The following is a 22491-nucleotide window of genomic DNA, read 5'->3' as shown; positions in this document are numbered from 1 at the left end:
AAACAAGGTTATAAAGAAAAGAGATTTTATATAAGAAAATATCTTGTATGGTAAATTCTTGTCTAAAGTAAAATAACTGGTTGTTTAAAAAGAGGGATGTTTAGGACAAGTCAGAAAGCCCAAGCACTTCGTAGATGGTCTGGTTAAGTCATGAAAGAATTTATAAAATAGAATTTATGAAAGAAATGTGCAATTTAAAGGTGGCTAGTCCTCTTAAATGCTTCATAAAATGCCACTATGACTCTTAACTGTACAACTTGCCTACTTTACAGCTAGGTAAAGCCTGAGACATGTGGAGTTAGACATTGGAAAAAGTCAGACCTTATCTGCACTTCTATCTGGATCCTAGGCTCTACATTTAGTAAACAATTAAAATCCTAACTTACCAAGGTTTTCACCATAAGTAAACGTTGATAAGAGTTAACATTATAACATGTAATTGAGACTACTGAAGAAAAAGTTTTACATGAAAGGTGTACAAAGAAAGTAAAATGTGTTTTCAGTTTAAAATAAATTATAAGAAGTCATGGGAATGTGACTTGTTTTTTGCCTAAAGGGTAAAGGATTGTTTGAGTTCAGATGAAGCTGAAGCTTTAAGCAAGTTGTGAAAGGTTTGTGAAAAATTAATTGTAAAAGAAATTCTGGGTGTGAACATATTGACTAAAGTTAAAGCAGTATTATTTCAGTTTTTCTAAAAATTAAACATTGGAATAAAAGCACAACAGGTTTTTCTGAGAGCACTGATCTACCATTTAACAAAAATTTATAAAGAGTTATAAAAGATTTAAGAGAATATTACCTTATGGTCAGACATTAAAATTGGATAGATTTGTCTATAAGGTTTTATTAAAAATTGGATTTAACATTAATAGTACACTAATGCAGAAGTGAAATTTGGTTTATTTGATATAAAAGTCATACAGGAAGCATTGTCAAATATGAAATGGTGTTTGGCCTTCTTTGGGCTGTATTTGTATTAGTATATTACTGGTATGTGTTCCAAAATTATAAAAATCTCCTATAATTTTGATATGACTTAGTGTATATTATTAATAATTGTTACATAAAATCATTGTATACCACAAAGGTAACCTAATTTCTTTGTCAATCATGTTTTTGACTGTGGCTGCCCTAAAACATTTTGTCATCCACAGACAATTATTGCCTTGTTTTAACCCTCTTAAAAAGGTGGTTTTATGATCAACTATAGGACTTTCACAGGTGCTAAATGCAGGTTTCCTGATATCTTTGGAAATTGTGACATTAGAATAGAGGAAAACACTTTCAGGATTCTGATGAAGAGCTGAAATATTTATGACTATTTTTCAGAACAGGAGTTAACTGCATGGACTAAACTAAAAAAATAATCTTTTTGACTGTGCTTAAAATGTTGCTAATCCTTTGTTTTGTTTTTCAGGGTCTAGAAAATTTTATTTTAAGCTATTTACAGCTTTTAACAATTAGGTAAAGTATTCTTCTATAAACAAAATCAGGAGCACATTTGTTTCTCTCTACTGATTTATCCAGAATTTGAAAATGGTTTGTGGGTATTCTTAATTTATGGCAATGTAGTTATTTGCATAAGTGCAATAAGAATCGGTTTTCTTTTGCAACAGGACACAATTGGAGAAATTGTTTATTTTATCAAAGCTTTGACTGGAAGGCTGTGCTTTCCTTTAAGGAATCAAACTTGACTAGTAAAGCCAATAAAGGCCCCTTCAGAAAACTGGCCTCATACCTTGTCTACACAGTCCCTCTACAGGGTTCTTCACCTTTGGTAAGTAAAGAATGTCACTTTCTGACAGACCTAAAAGCCCCAAATTGTCCTGAAACCTCAAGAGTAGAGGAATTTAGCCAACTGTTAGGTATTTGAGGGTAAAAAACCCATGGCTGGGCTTGGCTTTAAAAAAACCTTATCTGAGATTCCTTTTATGAAACAGAGTTCCATCAAAGCCAATTTTTAAAAAGCTTACATGAAAAATAATTATTCTTGCTATACTTTATACAAAGAATCCAGCCAAGCATAGTAAAGCAAGTCAGTTTTACCATTATTTGTCCTTTGTAAAAATGGGAAACTGGAGAGAGAATTATGTTTCAAGAACTATGGTGTACTTGCTCTTAGATTCTAGTCTCATCAGTTGTTTTGAGTTTTTTTCTGCAATTTAGACTAACCCTGCTTATTCCTGTGAACCAACCAGCAATCTCTGGCTGCTGCTCAGAAGAAAATAAAGGAATGGGTAATGTAAAAATATGAATCAATATTCCAATTCTGGGCACACTGGAATCAGCTAGTGACCCCATATCAGCTTGGTTTCAATAGTTGCCCAATTCATGGAAAGCCTTCTAATTTAGTTAACTTAGGACAATTTTGCTTATTCTGCTTTACTGTTTTAAAATATCTTGCTGTTGTGCTCTTTGTGTAGGAATAGAGGATAAACTTACTCAACTTTTTAAAAAAATCTTCCAGATATCACCTTTTCTTGGAACTTAAGAGTTATGAATGGCCTTCATCATACTAATGCATTCTGACTGAACTCCTCTGTACCCTGAACACAAGAGACCCTAATAGTTACACAGAAATATCATTGCCCCATTCAGCCTGAAGAAGTTAAAGAAGATGAATCTTCATCCTTCTGCAACTGTTAGGATTAAGGGTTCTTTTATAAAAGGGAGAGGAGAAATGTCAGAGGAATGTGAACCGGAGCAACTCCATCTTAAATAGGGGCTGGGTAAAATGAGGCTGAGACCTACTGGGCTGCATTCCCAGACAGTTAAGGCATTCTAAGTAAAAGGATAAGATAGGAGTTTGGCACAAAATACAGGTCATAAAGACCTTTCTTGTAAAACAGTTTGCAGTAAACAAGTCAGCTAAAACCTACCAAAACCAAGATGGCAACAAGAGTGACTGCTGGTCGTCCTCACTGCTACACTTCCACAAGGGTTGTGACAGTTTACAAATGCCATGGCAATGTCACGAAGTTACCCTATATGGTCTACAAAGGGGAGACATGAAAAATCCACCCTTTGTTTCGTATATAATCAGAATAACCATAAAAATTGGCAACCAGCAGCCCTTGGGGCTGCTCTGCCTATGGAGTAGCCATTCTTTCCTCTAACAATTTGACCTTTTGACTTGGGGTTTTATATGTTGGCATACTTCCAGGGTCTTGCATTACTCTTCCCTTGGATTAGGCCATCTGCATGTGCAGTAGCCTGCTAGCACTTGGGAGCAGCCTCATGCACAGTGTGTTTAATGGAGTTGTACACATGCTCACTTGAGAAATTTTTTCTGTACCAATACAGTGTTTCTAGAAGAAGTGTTTCCCCTTGATTTAGTTCTAGAAAGTCCTTTCGTTCTCTGCCTCTAGGCCCTATTCTCCTGCCTCAATTTCCCCCTGAAAGATGTGATCTCCATAAGTCTTTATGGGAGGTGGAACAACCGATGGTCTTTCTTCTGTAAATGCTTTATGACTGGTGTGGGGATCACAGACCTCTTGCCTTGCTCTCTCTAGTGAAGGAAGGGTAGCTCCTTGATGGCCAGGGGAGGCATCTTCACCTGGAACTGGCTGGAACCCTTGTCACATGATCATCTAAAGCTTAATCGTCTCTAGGCGAGAGGAAATGAATTGGGTTAAAGATTTAATGGGAATTTTAGGGGGTGGATACCTATTCTTTCAGCAATGTTTGTTATGGAAATTTGCAGGAGAAAAACAAAACCTGGTCTTTTCTAGGATCTATGTGTTTCCTTAATGTCTTAGCACAAGCGACTCTGTTTTGGTTTGGTTTGGTTTGGTCTTTTGGGGCCTAGTGCATGAACTCAGTCCAAAACAATTGCCTCCTATGCTTTTGCTTAAAAAGAAAATTCCCCCCTTTTTGATAAGGTTCTCACTTAGGTGAGAGTGTGACCAAAACTTAGGGCCTTAGCACCACTCTCAGTTACCATTATTTCGGGTTTCTGGTCTCACCACATCATTCATAGGTTATGGTGTCCTCATGGTCACACATTTCTTTCAGCTCTTGTCATTCTAATTGAAGAGAGACCATTTGACATTCTAGCAATGGCTGCGTGGAAGCACTTAAAACCTTTGAGAGAATACAGTGTACCAGGGAAACTATTATTATGACTATCGGGAGGATAATACCAAGAGTTTGGAGTATGCTCTTTACCCAGGTTACCCATAAACCAAACCACCTAAAATTAAATAGATCAAAAAATGAGCTAAAGAGTCTACTTACTTAACTAAGCAATCTCTTCATTTATCCTCTACAGCTAAATCTCTATAGTCTTCATCTGATGTATTTCTCCATAGGCCACAAGTGCCAGCAGCTGCACAGATACTTCTCTATTCAGCCAATTCTATCATAATTTTCACAAGAGAATTTAAAGTCTGGTATTTAACTATATCCTATACAGTAGAATCTGCTATAGAGCCTACTATGAGGAATGCATTTCTAATCATTGCTTCTTTTACTCCAAACCATAGAAAAAGGAACTAACAAATGATGCCCTTCTAGAAAAGCAAAGGACTCCTGGCAATGTTCTTAGAAGTACCTGTACTATTCCTCTCAGTAATGGAGATCTACTTTCCATGTGCTCTCCAACACATTCAGGCACCAAACTTACAAGTCTTCTATTCTGGATTTGCCCTTCATACAAAATCTATCAACACTTTTTAAAAATCTCTTCATATTCCACCCTTTTGTCCTATTTCTACTACTACAAAATTAATCTGGGGAATTGTTACCACACTTATTTTTGCTGCCATCAATTTCTCAGCTCTGTAAATCACCCCATGCAGTGAGATCAGGTGGCTTTTATGAAACATTCTTTTGATCAAAGAATTTCCCAACCCTCCAAAATGTCAATGAAATTACTTTCCCATGTTATACAGAGAAGCAAATCTCCTTAGACTTCTATACAAAGTTTCCCCAACCTTTTCAACAGTCTTTCTGTCTTGAATATGCCTTGTGATATAATGATTTATCTGCTTTTGTTCTTCAACTCTTTCTCCCTTCAAATCAAGCCATACGCATTATTCAATAACAGTTCAAATGTCAAAACTTTCCTAGGTTTTACCCAGATCATATCAACTCACAGAACTCTCAATTACTGTATATATTTTTGGTCGCCCTACTTAGCATTAAACTACACTACCTAATAGTATTCTTTACTTATTCATATACATACTCCTTTCTCTCATAGTACTATGAGTCTTAGAAGAAAGAGATTTTATGTCCTTTTTTCTGTATTTTCTAAGAATCTATGTCGGGTCAATATTTACTCACTTAACAAATATTTACAAACTACCACCTATATTTGGTATTGTGTTAGTTTTGGAGATACAGCAATAATCAAGACAGACATAGCCAATTTCTGAAATTCAGGTTCACCAACAATATCTGGCACCACAGCGCTCAAGTTGCTCTCATTCTGATATCATCAATGTGAATATGGGAACAAGTAATAATTACAGGAATGACTCTTCTCCAAAAATGAAAAATAAGATATTCACAGTAAATGATAGACTATTATAGTGCTGAGAATGAATTGTTCGGCACTAGAAAGAAAGAACAAATAGGTAGGCAGAGATTTTGTGCATATAGGTATTTGAAATGTCCAATTAATAACTTAAGCAAGATATGGTGAAAACATGAATATAGAAGTGAGGGACAGATTGAGGACTAGATTTCATAAATATTTAGAAAGGCAAACTGTCAGTAATGAATTTTGATATTGGATGTAGATATAAGCGTTAAGCAGTCTAAATTCCAAAATTTTTAGTCAGTGCTGCATGAACTGAAATAAGCAGCAAAAGAAAACTAAAACAATGTCTGTGTGCTGATCCCTTGAAATTACCTTGTAACACTGCCAAAGGAAAATGGCACTGAGCACCAAGTTTGTTATAGTTTCAGTTGTGCCCAAGTGAGTCTCCAGAGTTGGTGAAATCTCAAGCCTCTTATTGCATGGCTTACAGAGAACCAAGGTATGACGGATATTAATCCTTGGCTTGACATCTTTTGACCCATCTCTCTTCCTCTAGGTCATAAGCGAATTCACTCCTTTTCGCTTTGAAAACAACTGTGAATAGAAGAAAATGCACCTATTACTCATCCGCCTTCTGAGAGAGAAAACATGTCTTTAACCCATGCTTGATACGTATGCTAAACTTGCAGCCAGTAGCCTTGGGTCAGGAGTTCTGCGTATTTTCATAAGAGTTGTTCCTGTTACTCTTCGTGAATTTTCTCACCATAAAACTGTTGCCAACGGGGAAGAGGGACAAGAACATGAAGTGTTTATGAGGGAGCCTGAAACTGACAACCTGTGTAACTGGAGTGCGTCGTTGGCATGACACTGGCAGCGCACTGCAAACTTAAGCACCTGTGGACTCCTAATTAGCTCTTTAAATTGAACTACATTAATTCAGGCATTCTTGTTTGAATGCGAACGCCTCCTTTTTCAAGCCACCCCCTGGGCAACCCGAATCCTTATATGACCTCCCTCCTCCTCCTAGTACGGCGCAGGTATGCGAACAGACATTTTCTTTCCTCATCAACTGGTGGTAATGAGAAAAAGAGAACTCTGCTTTTCACAAGGGAAAACGTGCAAGATTTTCTCCGTAGTAGGGGAGGCGGGGGCGATGGGAGGAGAGCAGCTCACGTAGGCAGATAGCGGCGATGAAAGCATAAAGCCCAGTGACGTCGCCCACACGTGGCGCCTGGCAAGTGAACAATCGCGGTGAGAGGGGCGCGCCGCAGCTCCTCAACGCCGCAACGCGCCGGCCCAACTGCAGGAAGGTCTGTGCTCTGGAGCCAGGGTAAATGTAAGACCCGGATTGGAGACTAGAAATGGCTAGGGACGGGGAGGTGGGGTGAAGCACAGGGGAGAGAACCATCGTTGAGGTGAGGGGGTTTCTGATCCTCCTTCGCTCCTCTTCCGGCATCTGGAGGGCACATAGCTAATGCCGGGCAGACTGAGAGTTCAATTTTGTTGCTTAGCGCCGACCTACCATAACTTTCAACATGCTTCTCTATGTTTAGTCTATTGAAACTCTTTACCTACCTTAAAAGAGAAATCATTCTAAGTACATAAGACCCATTGAATCATAGTAGAAGCCTGAAGTCATTTCTCAATCTGCTTTTTACGAAGTCAAATTAAGACTCTTAGTTTCTAATTGATGTTTTGAATGTACAGTTATTAGAAACTGTAATAACAATTAGAGTTGGGGTCATTGACTCTGCTGGACTTTATATCATCTATTGGCTTCCAGAATTTAAAAAAAAAATGAAGAGACAAAGCTGTTACCCCCAAATCCACGTAGTTAATACTTACCATGTGGGACACTGCTTATGGAAATGATCTTTTAAAGAATGGGTTGAAGTCCTAGATAAGGGGTTGGGAGTCTTGAAAAAAGGTTGCAATTTTCCAAGCAAGTTAGCCAACTAGTAGTTACTGAACTTCAAGAAGTCCACTTTTTTGTTAGTGTTTGAAGGAAATATCAGGGCGTTGAAATACAATCTGACCTCAGAAGGACAATATGGTCTTAACGCTGAAATCAAATAAATACAGTAAATTATTAGAAACAATACTAAACAATTGAGTCAAAATTTAAGTTTGTGACAAAGATTATAGATACCATCTATAAGGGTATTCTTCACATCTTTATTTTAAATATTTTGTTTCCTTGTTCTAGGGTTATAAAATTATACACCATGGCCCTCCTAAAGACACTCTAGGAAAACCATGTCATCCTGATCTTAAAACACCTGCAAGAAAGAGCACAGTACTTCACCATTAGTAAGTAGCAAAGAAAAAAAATGGTAGCCAACTTTTCAACTATATATCAATATGGGTTTAAAGGAATAAAATGTAATTATATGGAATAGAAAAAAATATTTTTCCTTGAATATACTCTCACCAACAGTGACATTGCTTTCATTGACTCAATGAAGATGAGTATAGGTTAGATGGTTGAGGTTATGAGAGAGAAGAGCAGCAAAGAGGAGAGTATGGCATCATGGCCTATTATAGAATTCTGGCTCATCAGATGCATACACTGGGTGATTGAGCTATACAAAACTCTTCAGGCTCCTGTGTATGGCTTTCAATGAGCTGATGAGGATACAACAGCCCAGATGTTAGAGCATTTTCCTAAAGTCAGCCAGAAGGTGTCTAATAGAACCAGGCCTTGAACATGTGAATCTCGAATTAGATTATACTGATTGTATTTTCCTATAACACCTGGAAGGAAACACATGTCTCTTAAACACTTAGTAATTAGCAATTCAATCAAACAGCATATGTTTATAGAAAGCTCTTATGAGCTCAACAAACTAGCAGACATTGCAAAAGATAATAAAAACATGAATAATTTCCGTTTATTTGTATTATGTGCATAATGTGTTTATTGTATTAGAGGTGTTACATACATTGTCCCTTCCAGTCTTCAAAGCAAAAACCTGTGATATAAAAATCTACATTTTACATAAGAAAAACACTGAAGCTTGGCATAGATTTCCCAGACCTGATGGTTTCCAAAGAATGCACCCGTAACCAATAAGCTACAGGTAGTTGATAATTAGAAAGTAAAAATCATAGACAGCTGAACTATGAGAGTTCAGCTATAAGGCAGAATCCTGGTAACCTTCACAGTAGTTAACCTGTCTTGGGTTGTCAATATAGAAATACTAGTCCAAAAAGGCCACATGCAGATTATCGTGTGCCTAAGGAGAAGGGAGAACTGATTAGAAAGGGAGGGCATGATTTACTTACTCATGTTAAAAACTATGTGGGAAGCAAATAATGTCAAAAGCATTATCAGACAACTGACAATGAAGTTTAAGGTTACTGGTATGAAAAATACTACTTCAGAACTTTGTTGACTTAGATTTATTTAACAAAACCAGAGTTTGACAAAACAGGAATATGTGTAATATATATGCTGCTCTAAACCTTCCACCTTCTTTCTTTCTAAAGATAAAGTAGATATTTCATCCTGCTCAGAAAACCAACAGTAAGTGTTAAATCATTGATTTTAATGTGAATATTTTATCATGCCAATCATTTTTATGTTGTCAAGGGTAAAATGATTAATGAGTTTGCCCATGATTTTATTTTTTTGTTTTTTGTTTGTCTGTTTGTTTGTTTGTTTTAGAGACAGGGTCTCTTTCTGTCACCCAGGCTGGAATGCAGTGCTGTGATCATAGTTCACTGCTGCCTCAAACTCCTAGGCTCAAATGATCATCCCACCTCAGCCTCCTGAGTAGCTGGGACTACAGGCACTTGCCACCATGCCCAGCTAATTATGTTTTGTTTTTGTTTGTTTGTTTTTAGTAGAGATGAGGTCTCACTGTGCTTTCCAGGCTGATCTTGAACTCCTGGGCTCAAGTTATGTGCTCTCACCTCAGTCTCCCAAAATGTTAGGATTATAGGAATGAGCCACTGTGCCTGGCCTATCCATGATTTTCAAAACTTTAATAAATTTGTATTGAGAATGACCTCAAGTTAATTTTATTCTTTTACAGTTAAGAAGGTAAATTACAGCAATATTACGCACACACACAAAAAAATTTGATATGTAAAAATTTTTTACATTTTATTCTAAAAATAAGTAATGGAATTAATTCTCATGTTTGTGACTTGAGACAATTATACTAGAACTACCTTTAATAGGAAAATGGAAAAGTATGGCTGTTTAAGTATATTGTATAAGCTGGCATATTAATGATTTTACTATTAACATATACAGTTATGTATTAATAAGGGAATTATTAAAGTAAAAATAAAGGGTCTCCATTGTGCTGCAACAATGTCTGCCTTTTCCCAATTAAAACTGTGTCTCTTTCAATGAGTCAATGTCTCTTTCAAAGTCATTGACTTCGAAGTCATAATTGGATGAAGACTAATTTCTGACATTACCTAAGAACGTAGCATTGGCATAGGTTAATTAACTGTCTTAAGCCTCAATTACATCATCCATACAATATAAATAGTAATACCCAGTAAGGTATGGGAGTGAAATTGTATATCATTTTCCATGAACCGTCAATAATTGTTCATCCCTCATCCCTTTTTTGCACATAATTGAGCATAAAGGCAATGGATGGAACAAGTATCAATGATACACTATTTACAGTAAGTGAAGCCTGAGAAGCATCACAGATAAATTGTTCGGAATTTTCTTTCTTTCCAAGAATTTGGGAGTGACAGTCTCACACACAAGAAACAAATCTAGGCAGCATAACTTTAATTTACAAATTAAACAATTTATATGACTAATGACAGAAAGGTGAGTGTTTCCAAAACTAAGTGGTCTTGTTGTTTCATCTGAAGGACGTGAGACTTTTTGACATATTGAGAAAGGACAACATGGGTAACAAAATGCTGAGTGTCTTTTTAGGAGATAATGAAAATACGAAACAATCTTCTTACCAAATAATGGATTGAGTAAACTTGAATAAGCTATATCTTCAATGCATTAATTGTATTTTTTGTATACAGAGAAATTTGAAAATATTCACAAGTATAAGGAAGAAAATAAACATAACTTCTAGTTACTCCATTAGGGAAATAACAGCTAATAAAGTATTTGCACAACCATATCTGTGTAATCACAACCTTGTCATCTTAATTAGAGTCTGGTATAAATAAAAGGACAAACCGTTTTACTTTTCGTATAGAATAGCCAATTGAGAGATGGTACATATTGAAAATAAACTTTCCTCCAAAAATTGAGATGAAGAATGAATGTCAGTACTATAATTAACTATTAAGGAATCTATTTTCTTTTTGATGGCGTAAGGGTAGCAGAAGTAGGCAGAAAGAAGGGAGTAGGTCTCTCTCTTTTATAGATGTACCTCAAGGGCATCAGTAGAGTTCTTCAGCTTTTTCTTTATTGTCACTATCAAAGACAAGGTTGGCCTCATTATGATTCTACTAGTACCATAGGGCAATTCTTCTTTTGTTCCATTGTTAATGAATCTGGGAATCACAGTTCCTTTGAGATAATCGAGATCATTATATTGGTATTCCCCCTCTTAGAAGTTTTTTAAACTACATATTTCAATGCAGACCTTTGTTTTTCTTGACTTAGTTTCCAGCAATGGCTTTACTACCGGTGTTGTTTCTGGTTACTGTGCTGCTTCCATCTTTACCTGCAGAAGGAAAGGTAAGGTTAAAATGGAAAATCTTTTCAGAGCTATCCAGCAACTTTGTGGTATGGCAGGCTATTCTGAAAGTAAAGGGGGGTAAGAGAGTTTGGTATGTCAGAGTTTCCACTGGTTCAGAGTTCTCAGAGCACTTAACACAATTATTGAGATGAAAGGCCAAGGTTATGCTGTATGTGTTCTGCATGTGTATGCTAGCCACCGGTCACATGTGACTACTGAACACTTGAAATGAGGTTTGAACAGGCAAAATGTACTCTGATGGTAAGAAACTCACTAGATTTCAAACATTTAGAACAAAGAAAGAAGGAAATATCTCATTTTTTTAATATTGCATCCATGATGAAATGATAATATTTTGGATATTCCATTAAATAATATATTAGGTTCTTAGGGTGGTTGCAACAAATTATCACAAGCTAAGTGGCTTATAACAACAAAAACTTATTCTCTCACAGTTATGGAGGCCAGAAATCTAAAATCAAATTATCTCCTGGGCTGAGCTCCCTCTGGAGGATCTAAGAGGGACCTGTTCCATGCCTTTCCCCACCTTCTGGTGGTCTCTGCCACTGCTTGGCATTCCTTGGCTTGTGGCTGCATCACTCCAATCTCTGCCTCCATCTTTACATTATCTTCCCTTCTCTGTATGTCTCATAAAGGCACTTGTCATTATATTCAGAGGCAACTGGATAATCAAGGCTAATCTCATCCTGAGATCCTGAACTTAATTACATCTGCGAAGACTTTTTCCAAATAAGAACACATTCACAGTTTCTGAGCATTAGGATATGGACATGTCTTTTTGGAGTCTACCACCTAACTCATTACAAATAAAATGTATTATTTAAATTAATATCACTTAAAAATTAAAATTGCATATCATGTTTAAATTATTTTTCTAGTAAACACTGGTCTATGGGGTTAGAAAGCTGATGATAGTCCTCTTGCTCCAATCTATTTTCTGATTTCCTTAATTTTATTTCTTTTTAATGAGATCCCTATACAAAATTAACAATATACTTATATAATATTAAATTAGCACAATTTCTCCACTATATTAACACATTTAATTTGTATAGTTAGGGTATAAGAATAATTAGATTTATATTTTTAATTAAGAAAACAAAAACCCTAACTCTAAAAGCCTTAGTGCTTTGTTTAGTAGTGATAATAGAGTTAGTATGTGAAGGGCCAAGAGGATTTTGAATTCAGGTCCTAGAGTTATTTCTAATATGCTACTTTGTTGAATTGACCCCATAATATGGTCAGCAATCTTCAGTGATAAAATGTGCAGTGCTCACATGCAGTGTGTATCTCCTGAGCAGGTAGCCTCTGAAACAGCTTTGGCATTGCTGTTTCTTGTCATATCTTCCATTAACTCTGTGCACATTAGACTCGCTAGGACTTTTCAGACTGGAGGACTCTGACACTCAGTTCAAACTTCATTTGGCATTCAGAAATATAGTCATTGTATTACTGTAATTAGATTATCAATGTGCAGATAATTCATTCATCATCTAGGGCCTCATTCAAATAATTTGCTGTTCTTTTCATTTCTTTCCCTGAAAGATTTTCTTTCATACCTGTTTCCAATCCCCTGTAACATCTCAGCTCATCTCCTGGTCTTCATTTATAAAATTATTAAAAAGTGAGATGTCATTTTGTCTTTGGCACCACTAAATGTTTGAAATCAGATGCTCTATAAACACTCTGCCCAGTATGATTTTCTGATGTTTTCAAGATGCCTAGAAAACTCTGTTCATCTTTCAGAACCCCAGAATCACATTTTATGAAGCTTTCTCTGACTTCAAAGAAAAATTGATCCCTCCTTCCTCCCTATCTTGTAGATCATTAAGATCAGTTTTGTTATCATGTGTATTGTAATTTTTACTTATGTCACGTCACTTATTCAATATAAACTCTTTAAGGATAGATACCATATTTATTTTATTCTCGATATGTTTAATATTTCTAGTCATGTAATAACTTTATTAACACATTTAAAAATACATCTCTTTTTCAGTACAATTTTTATCTACAAAGCAAAAAGGTGTAAGAAGCAGGAAATAATTTAGAAATTAACTTTTTATGTGTTTTGAGATGAAACCACAAAAACCAGATTTTTTTAGGTCGAGAGAAAATATCCAGGGATGTTATTTTATGCTTTGATGTGATTTAGAAATCTGCCTTTACTGATATTTTATATGCACATCCTTTCTAACTTATGAGTCAGTAACTTTGCCATATTTATTGGTACAGTGGCGTCCACGATCAGTCCCTGTTCTTAGGAACATAAAAGCAGGAAAGAGAAATGTATATATTGTAGATAATGGCAATAAGATGCTCAGACCAATGGTGTAAGTATTTTGAGAGACTTAAATGAACTCAGTATGGGAGGAGAGGAGGATAACTTATTGCAAGGTGTCAGAAAAAATCCATGAGGAGCCCTGTTCCTTTCAGACTTATACTTCAAAATCTTGCCCATTCCTATATAACATCATATTCTTGTGTAAATTTAGGTCATCAAATGCTTGGACCTTTACCCAGGAATTTTCACATCCTATTCCACCTCCAGGCTTAGCAGGCCCCATACCATACACACAGACAAATATACAACCACAAAGATAAACCAAACATATTAGCACCCAATTTAATACCTTATCAGTTATGTTTCTGTTACTAAAAGGAACAAAGTCAGCAATAGTCCATTCATTAGATAGATTTGATCCCTCCAAATTGCTTTAAATTTTTTTTAGTTTTACAAAGTTATCTTTTAAGCAACCCATAAAATTTGCTACATAATAGGTATAATGGTTTCACTATAGTACTGAATGCAGACATGCACTTCAACTGGGCCTAAACATTTTTCCTTAAAGGCAGATACCATGTCAAGGAAAACTGCCCCATAAAATTTAAGATGAATCATGGGCTCCAGCTTTACCCTACCTTGCAGCCTGATCAAATGTGAATGAATATATCTCAAGGTTTTAAATTTGTATGCTTGTAGTTATAAAATATTATTATTCATATGTCTATACAAATCATATTAAAAGTTCCCTTGCTGGGGGAAATGGCAGATAGGAGGCAGGACTAACTTGCAGTTGCCACTTGGATAAACAGAACAATATGTGGAGATTCACATCATGAACTTTTGTGCCAAGAACCACTGCAGGAGCATGGCAGGAAAACTGAAAGAATTCACAGACCATTTGAAAGAAGTGGCTTGACGCTACAAACTCTGTGAGATAGCTGAAACACTATGAGGGCCCAAAGCGTGAGGGAAGAAAATCTGCCTCTAAACACACATCCTCACTGAGGAAGCTGAAAATCCAGATCATGGGAGAAAGATTTAACCTTACTTAAGGCTGAAATGAATTTAGAGAGCCATGCAAAATAAAAAAGAAGAAGAAGCAGTGAGAAGAGCCCTGTAGGCACTCCCAGTTCCCACAGAAGCCCAGGGAAGCCATTTCTGACTTTATCTCACAGAGATCCTCAAAGAGGAAAGCCAGTGGAATTAGAGAAGGGCCACAGGGAGGAGACTTCCAGCTGAACTTTGTAATAATTTTGACCAAGTGCAAATTTTTCTGGGCAGATCTGGGATTCTGAATGGGAAGTACGGATATGAGTACAGAAGCTGCAGTAGGTGGGAAATGGGGAAAGGCCTGAAAGCCCTCCTTAGTCTCTCCTTGGGGAGGGTTGTAGCCTGGACCAAGATCTCAGACTTGCACAACAGAGGCTTGGATATAAATTCAGCTCTATTGGCCATTGAGGGAGCACAGCAGGGGTGAGATTGGCCTTGCTGGCTGACTAGGAGCTTAGTGAAGCCTGTCACTTCTGGCTTTCCACCACTTCCCTGGTGACCTCTATGAAGCAGCCGAGGCAGCCATAGCCCCCTTGGAACATAACTCCATTGGCCTGAGAACCACACCCCCATCTTGCACAGTGGCTGCAGTAAGCCCCCACCAAGGAGAGTCAGAGTTCAGATATGCCTAATCCTGCCCACACATGATGGTCTTTCTCTACCCAACCTGGTAGCCAAAGACAAAAGACATAAACTCTTGGGAGCTCTATAGCCCTACCCATCACCTGAAAAACCTGAATACTTATCCAGGTGACCTTAGGGCAAACTTGTATCCCCCCATACTACCACAGCTTACACTGTCTTGAAACCAACTCGAGCTGTTACAGCAACTCAGAACAACTCTACTCCAAGGAAAGACAAAACAGCAGTTAATTCCACTGCCTGTAACATCCTGGCTAACCAGAGGTCCTGAGACTGTCCACATGACAACTTCACTATTAGCATAACCAACATTCAAGAAAACCAGTGCACTAAACAAAACTACAGCCAAGGACTCTCACAGAGTCCACTTCACTCCCCTGCTACCTCCACTGGAACAGGTGCCAGTATCTATGGCTGAGATACCTGAAGATGGATCACATCACAGGACTCTTTGCAGGCATTCTCCAGTACCAGCCTGGAGCCCAGTAGCTCTGCTGGGTCGCTAGACCCCGAAGAGCAATAACAATCACTGCAGTCTGGCTCTCAGGAAGCCCCATCTCTAGGAGAAGGGGGAGAGTACCACATCAAGGGTTCAAGGCAAAAGAACCTGAACAGCAGCCCTTGAGCCCCAGATCCTTCCTTGGACATAGTCTACCTGATGAGAAGGAACCAGAAAAAAATTCTGGTAATATGACAAAACAACGTTCTATAACATCCCCAAAAGATCACACTAGCTCACCATAAATGGATTGAAACCAAGAAGAAATCTCTGAATTGCTGGAAAAAGAATTCAGAAGGTTAATTATTAAGCTTCTCAAGGAGGAACCAGAGAAAGGTGAAAACCAACTCAAAAAAATTTAAAAAGTAATACAAGTATGAATGAAAAAATTTCCAGAAAAATAAATATCACAAATAAAAAAACAATCACAACTCCTGGAAATGAGACACACTTAGAGAAATGCAAAAAATACTGGAAAGTTTCAACAATAAAATGTAACAAGTAGAAGAAAGAACTTCAGAGCTTGAAGATATGGCTTTTGAATTAACCCATTCTAACAAAGACAAAAAAATGATAAAAAGAAAATGAACAAAGCCTCCAAGAAGTTTGGGATTACATTAAATCACCAAAGCTAAGAATAATTGATGTTCCTGGGGAAGAAGAGACATCTAAAAGTTTGGAAAACTTATTTGAGGGAATAATTGAGGAAAACTTTCCTGGCCTCTCTAGAGACCTACACATTCAAATAAAAGAAGCTCAAAGAACACCTGGGAAATTAATCACAAAAAGATCATGACCTGGGTACATAGTCATCAGGTTATCTGAAGTCAAGATCAAGAAAAGAATATTACGAGCTGTGAGGCAAAAGCATCAGGTAACCTATAAAGGAAAACCTATCAGATTAACCACAGATTTATCTGCAGAAATCCTGTAAGCCAGAACAGATTGTAGTCCTATCTTTAGCCATCAATGTACACAAATCAGTAGTACAGCTATACACCAACAGCAACCAAGATGAGAATTAAATCAAGAACTCAGTACCTTTTACAACAGCTGAAAAAACAATAAAATACTTTGGAGTATACCTAACCAAGGAGGTGAAAGACCTCTACAAGAAAACTGCAGAACACTGCTGAAAGAAATTATAAATGACACAAACAAATGGAAACACATCCCATGCTTATGGATGGATAAAATCAACATTGTAAGAATGACCATACTGCCAAAAGCAATCTACAAATTTAATGCAATTCCCATCAAAATACCATCATCATTTTTCAAAGAACTAGAAAATACAATTCTAAAATTGATATGGAGCCAAAAAAAAAGCCTGCATAGCCAAAGCAAAACAAAACAAAAAGAACAAGTCTGGAAGCATCGCATAACCCCACTTTAAACTATACTACATGGCTATAGTCACCAAAACAGCATGGTACTGGTATAAAAATAGGCACATAGACCAATGGAACAGAATAGAGAACTCAGAAATAAGGCCAAATACTTACAGCCAACTGACCTTCAACAAAGCAAACAAAAACATAAAGTGGGAAAAGGACACCTTATTCAACAAATGGTGGTGGGATAGTTGGCAAGATCCACGTAGAAGAATGAAACTGAATCTTTATCTCTCACCTTATACAAAAATCAACTCAAGATGGATCAAATACTTAAATCTAAGACCAAACCATGTAAACTCTAGAAGATAACATCAGAAAAACTCTTTTAGACATTGGCTTAAGGCAAATGTCTAAGACCAAGGCAAATGTCTTATGACCAAGAACCCAAAAGCAAATGCAACAAAAAGAAAGATAAAAAATGGGACTTCATTAAACTAAAAAGCTTCCTCACAGCAAAACAAATAATCAGCAGAGTAAACATAAAACCCACAGAATGGGAGAAAATCTTCGCAAACTAGTTATCCAACTAAGGACTAATATCCAGAATCTACAAGGAACTAAAACAAATCAGAAGAAAAAAATCCCATCAAAAAGTGGGCTAAGGGCATGAGTAGACAATTCTCAAAATAAAATAGAAAAATGGCTGACCAACATACGAAAAGCTGCTCAACATTATTAATTATCAGGGAAATGCAAATCGAAACCACAATGAGGCTAACACTTTATTCCTGAAAGAAAGGCCATAATTTAATTAAAAAAATAATAGATACCGGTGTGGATGTGGAAAAGGGAACACTTTTGTACTGCTGGTGGGAATGTAAGCTATTACAAGCACTATGGAAAACAGTATAGAAATTCCTTAAAGAACTAAATGTAAATCTACCATTTGATCCAGCAATTTCACTACTGAGTATCTACTCAGAGGAAAAGAAGTCATTATATGAAAAAAAGACACTTGCACACGCATGTTTATAGCAGTACAATTCACAATTGCAAAAATATAGAACCAGCCCGAGTGCCCATTAATCAATGAGTGGATAAAGAAAATGTTATATATATATATATATATATATATATATATATATATATATATAGTACACATATATATAATGTATACATATATAAGTATACATATATAATATATATAATATATATTACATTATATTAATGTATACATATATAATATAAACTTATATATGTATACATATATAATGTATACATTAATATGTATAATATAATATATTATATTATATATATTATATATTATGTATAATATAATATATTATATTACATATATTATATATTATATATAATATAATATATAATACATAATATATAATAATATATAATATATAATACATAATATATAATAATATATATTATATAATATATATTATTATTAATGTATACATTATATATGTATACATATATAATGTGTACATACATACATATATAATGCATACATATATAATGTATACATTATATATATACCGTGTATATATACATTATATATACATTATATATGTATACATAATGTATACATATATAATGTATACATATATAATGTATACATATATAATGTATACATATATAATGTATACATATATAATGTATATATATATACCGTGTGTGTGTGTATATATATACACACACACGTAATACTCAGCCATAAAAGCCATATATATATACTGTGTGTGTGTGTGTGTGTATATATATATATATATATATATATACACACACACACACACGTAATACTGCTCAGCCATAAAAAGAAATGAAATAATGGCATTTGCAGCAACCTGGATGGAGTTGGAGACCATTATTCCAAGTGACGTAACTCAGAAATGGAAAAACCAAACATCATATGTCCTCACTAATAAGTGGGAGCTAAGCTATGAGGATGCACAGGCATAAGAATGATACAATTGACTTTGGGGACTTGGGAGAAAATGTGGGAGGGTGGCGTGGGATAAAAGACTACACATTGGATACAGTGTACACTGCTGGGGTGATGGGTGCACCAAAATCTCAGGAATCACCAGTAAAGAACTTATTCATGCAACAATTTACCACCTGTTCCCCCAAAATTATTTTTTGAAAAGTTCCCTTGAAACCAGAAATCGGCATTTGTGGCCTCAGAGGGGTTTTTAGTTTGTCATGCCATGAGTTACTCACAATTCCCAAAGCTTTAATCTACTACTTTCCTATTTAAATGTTTCAGTCTACTACTTTACTATTTAAAAGTTATATCTTCAACTCAGATTTAGTGGCAATGCTTAACAACTAATATTGGCTTTTATTATTTAAATAACTTTAGTATTTAATATATGTACATGATAACTATTTTGCACTTTTTAAAGTGACCTTTGTTCTCTTGAATTAACTTATTCACTATTATATGAAATTTACAATATTGTTAAATAATAATTCCAATTTTATTTTCTTTTAGGATCCCGCTTTTACTGCTTTGTTAACCACCCAGTTGCAAGTGCAAAGGGAGATTGTAAATAAACACAATGAACTAAGGAAAGCAGTCTCTCCACCTGCCAGTAACATGCTAAAGATGGTAAGAGGCAGTGCTGTAAGGAGATGGGTGTGAATCAGCTGTGGAAGGAGCCGACGGCTGGCCACTGGCATCTCTTAAGAACTTTGTGGTTTACAAAGTTGTGTCTCTGTTTTGTTATTTTATTTGAACCATTATATGGAGAGGATTGTATTCTTGTTTTTGTTTTAAAGCTGGTTAAAAAAACTCAATTATACAGAGTTTTTAAATTTGGAAGGCATAATTGGAAGTCAAATATTCAGGCATTCAGTGTTAAGCCATTACACTTTTTGTTAATTCTCTTTTCTGGTTTACAATCAAGAAATCCCCCTTCCTTCAGGATATGTGTCAGCTGTTGTGAGTAAAAGCCCACTTCCCAGGGCACAGTCCCTGAAAGACTGGTATCTCCGATATGAAAGCAATGGCTTACATATGAAAACAAATGGAATTGGAAATAACGTTGGCCATCTTATTACTATTAAAATATAATTAGAATATTTCACATGCTTATCAATATTTAGACTAGCATCATTAATAAATATCCTAGGTATGGCTGCTTTGCTATCATAAATAATCACATATTATTGTCTTATTTTGCTTTTTAGATATATTACCTATGGACTACCCATCATGTGTAAACTGGCACCAGAAGAGATAAAAACACTTAAAAACATTTTAATAACAGTAGTATTAGAGAATACATCTACAGAAATTTTAAAGTATTTACAAATCAGATTATAAAGTGTATGTTTCATTGTGGCTGAATCATTAAGTGTATTTTGTTTTCTTGTGACGTTTAGGAATGGAGCAGAGAGGTAACAACGAATGCCCAAAGGTGGGCAAACAAGTGCACTTTACAACATAGTGATCCAGAGGACCGCAAAACCAGTATGTAAATTAGTAAATATTTGTTGAATAAATAAATGAATAAAATAATAATAGAGCATTGTAGGATGCTCTATAATAAGAAGACTTTGAAAATAAATGTTACTTATACTGCTGTCTTTTTGAAGTCAAAGTATCTGTATACAGAGGGGTATTTACAATAAGAACAATTTTGTGTTTTTTTATTGTGTACATTATGCAAATAATTTTGCTTCTTGCAACCAGCTCATGAGTACAGCAGATTTTATATCATCTTTCTTTTTGTAAGTTTAAAGATTAGAAAGCCAGAATTTGAAAGAAAAGTGACTTACCCAAGAACATAATCTGAAACAGTGTCATACTAGAAATTTTTAACCAAGCTTTCTGATTTCTAACCCACTGCCCTTTTTGTTAATTTATGTAGCTGTCTGATGTTTTGAAATCTATTTTTTGTATCCATAAAATATATTGAACTTATGATGAATTATTCCTAAGTTTTGCTCTAAAGTGGATAAAAGTGGATAAAGTGGATTTAAATTTATCGTATTCAAAATTTCTATAAAAATGAATATTTTTGAATATATTAATATATTAATTTTTAATATCAGACTAGCAAGTATTTTGTGTGGACTGGATACCTACAATGCACAGAATACTATATTCGAGTTTTAAAAAGACATATCAAGGATTATAAAAACTAGTAAATGCCCAAATAATTTATGAAGTGTTTCTGGGCTGTAAGGCACTTCTTGACAAACTCACAAGGATTTCAGCTTGTGATATCTGATTTCCTGGTTAAGAGAAAACCCATAAATTTTGAAAACTGTTATCCTTCCTGGTGTCAGTTTTCTCTTGATTGGGACTCTTAAAGACAGCCTATAAAGTCTTTTTTTCAGATTTCACACAAAGTCTTATACATTTATTTGGGGTCCTATATTTGAAAAATCTCTGTTGAGGGTTACTAGAGCAGAAAACAGAATATAAGAGTTGGTCACTGCCTTTAGCAAGCTTACCATATACAGCTGGGAACACTCAAGGCATACACATGTGGAAAATTTAGCATGCAAGGGCATTTTTAAGGAGCAGAGTGTTAACCTACTCAAAGTTTTATGTGGTCAGGCCAACCTCAGTGTGTCAGGCAGTTAAGTGTTCTAATCAGCTTTATAGCTGATAAGGAACTGAGGCACTCCTTTATGTATTAATCAACAGTTAGCATCTGCTGGACCCTGGGTTTGAAAGGCAACATCTTTGTGTTTGTGTAGTCAATTTCTTTTACCATTGCATGTTTATTACCTTGCTCATGAATGATCTGCCCCTTAGGTACAAGATGTGGTGAGAATCTCTATATGTCAAGTGACCCTACTTCCTGGTCTTCTGCAATCCAAAGCTGGTATGACGAGATCCTAGATTTTGTCTATGGTGTAGGACCAAAGAGTCCCAATGCAGTTGTTGGACATTATACTCAGGTAAGAAGAATGCATGAAAATACCTATGTCACAGATGTTCTAATAGAGGAAAGCTTCTCCAAATTATGACCACTGTAATGTTCAATTTAGGAGAACAGTCCGAGTGGGTAGAATACAGTCTTGGCATTTGGCTGTTGTAGAGCTGTCATTTTTGTCCATGGTCAGCCAAACTCTTAGTAGGAAAGCAGACTCTGTATTGTTCCTACATTATAAATTTTAAAGTGATGAATGTACATGAAAATTAAATATTTTTAAAGTTTATGACTTTGGTTCAATAATTTAAATATTTTTATGGTATATGTCTATAAAACTAACATTTTTCAGTTTTATATTTGCTACTTTTTTAAATATTTTTCATCTTCTCTAATGTACTTTTATATATTTATTCCATTGTTAATTTGCAGCTTGTTTGGTACTCGACTTACCAGGTAGGCTGTGGAATTGCCTACTGTCCCAATCAAGATAGTCTAAAATACTACTATGTTTGCCAATATTGTCCTGCGTAAGTAGACTGTTTAGAGTTTAATGGCAATAATTCTATCTGCAATTTATTTTTT

At 35.5% G+C, this 22491-nt stretch overlaps 1 protein-coding gene across 15 annotated transcripts in view, besides 1 other annotated feature; it reads left to right on the top strand.

Annotated features, from left to right (window-relative positions):
• Positions 34 to 234: a silencer, noted in NCBI's record as "peak5839 fragment used in MPRA reporter construct". NCBI's record gives its function as "represses an SCP1 promoter by STARR-seq MPRAs in K562 erythroleukemia cells {active_cell/tissue: K562}" and the evidence as "EXISTENCE:reporter gene assay evidence [ECO:0000049][PMID:32103011]".
• The window catches only part of CRISP2 (cysteine rich secretory protein 2), a 37569-nt gene continuing 21153 nt past the window's right edge, over positions 6076 to 22491 (top strand). For 4 of the 15 annotated variants that reach the window (XR_926302.4, XM_011514843.4, NM_003296.4 and 1 more), the window contains exons 1-8: positions 6753 to 6821; positions 7692 to 7795; positions 8975 to 9011; positions 11091 to 11165; positions 19512 to 19628; positions 20405 to 20492; positions 21789 to 21934; positions 22339 to 22436. Coding sequence is in view for 14 of the 15 variants with exons in the window: in XM_011514843.4 (XP_011513145.1) it covers positions 11100 to 11165; positions 19512 to 19628; positions 20405 to 20492; positions 21789 to 21934; positions 22339 to 22436 (515 nt within the window). In the remaining variant the exon portion in view is untranslated. Of the gene's footprint in view, positions 6523 to 6752; positions 6822 to 7691; positions 7796 to 8974; positions 9012 to 11090; positions 11166 to 19511; positions 19629 to 20404; positions 20493 to 21788; positions 21935 to 22338; positions 22437 to 22491 lie in introns of those variants that run through there. The other 11 variants (NM_001142417.3, NM_001439002.1, NM_001142408.3 and 8 more) reach the window with 7 other exon arrangements.

Source organism: Homo sapiens, chromosome 6 (assembly GCF_000001405.40).
Source record: "Homo sapiens chromosome 6, GRCh38.p14 Primary Assembly".
NCBI classification, from domain to species: domain Eukaryota; kingdom Metazoa; phylum Chordata; class Mammalia; order Primates; family Hominidae; genus Homo; species Homo sapiens.
Note: the sequence above shows the minus strand (reverse complement) of the source record. Positions and strands in the feature narration are given on the sequence as shown.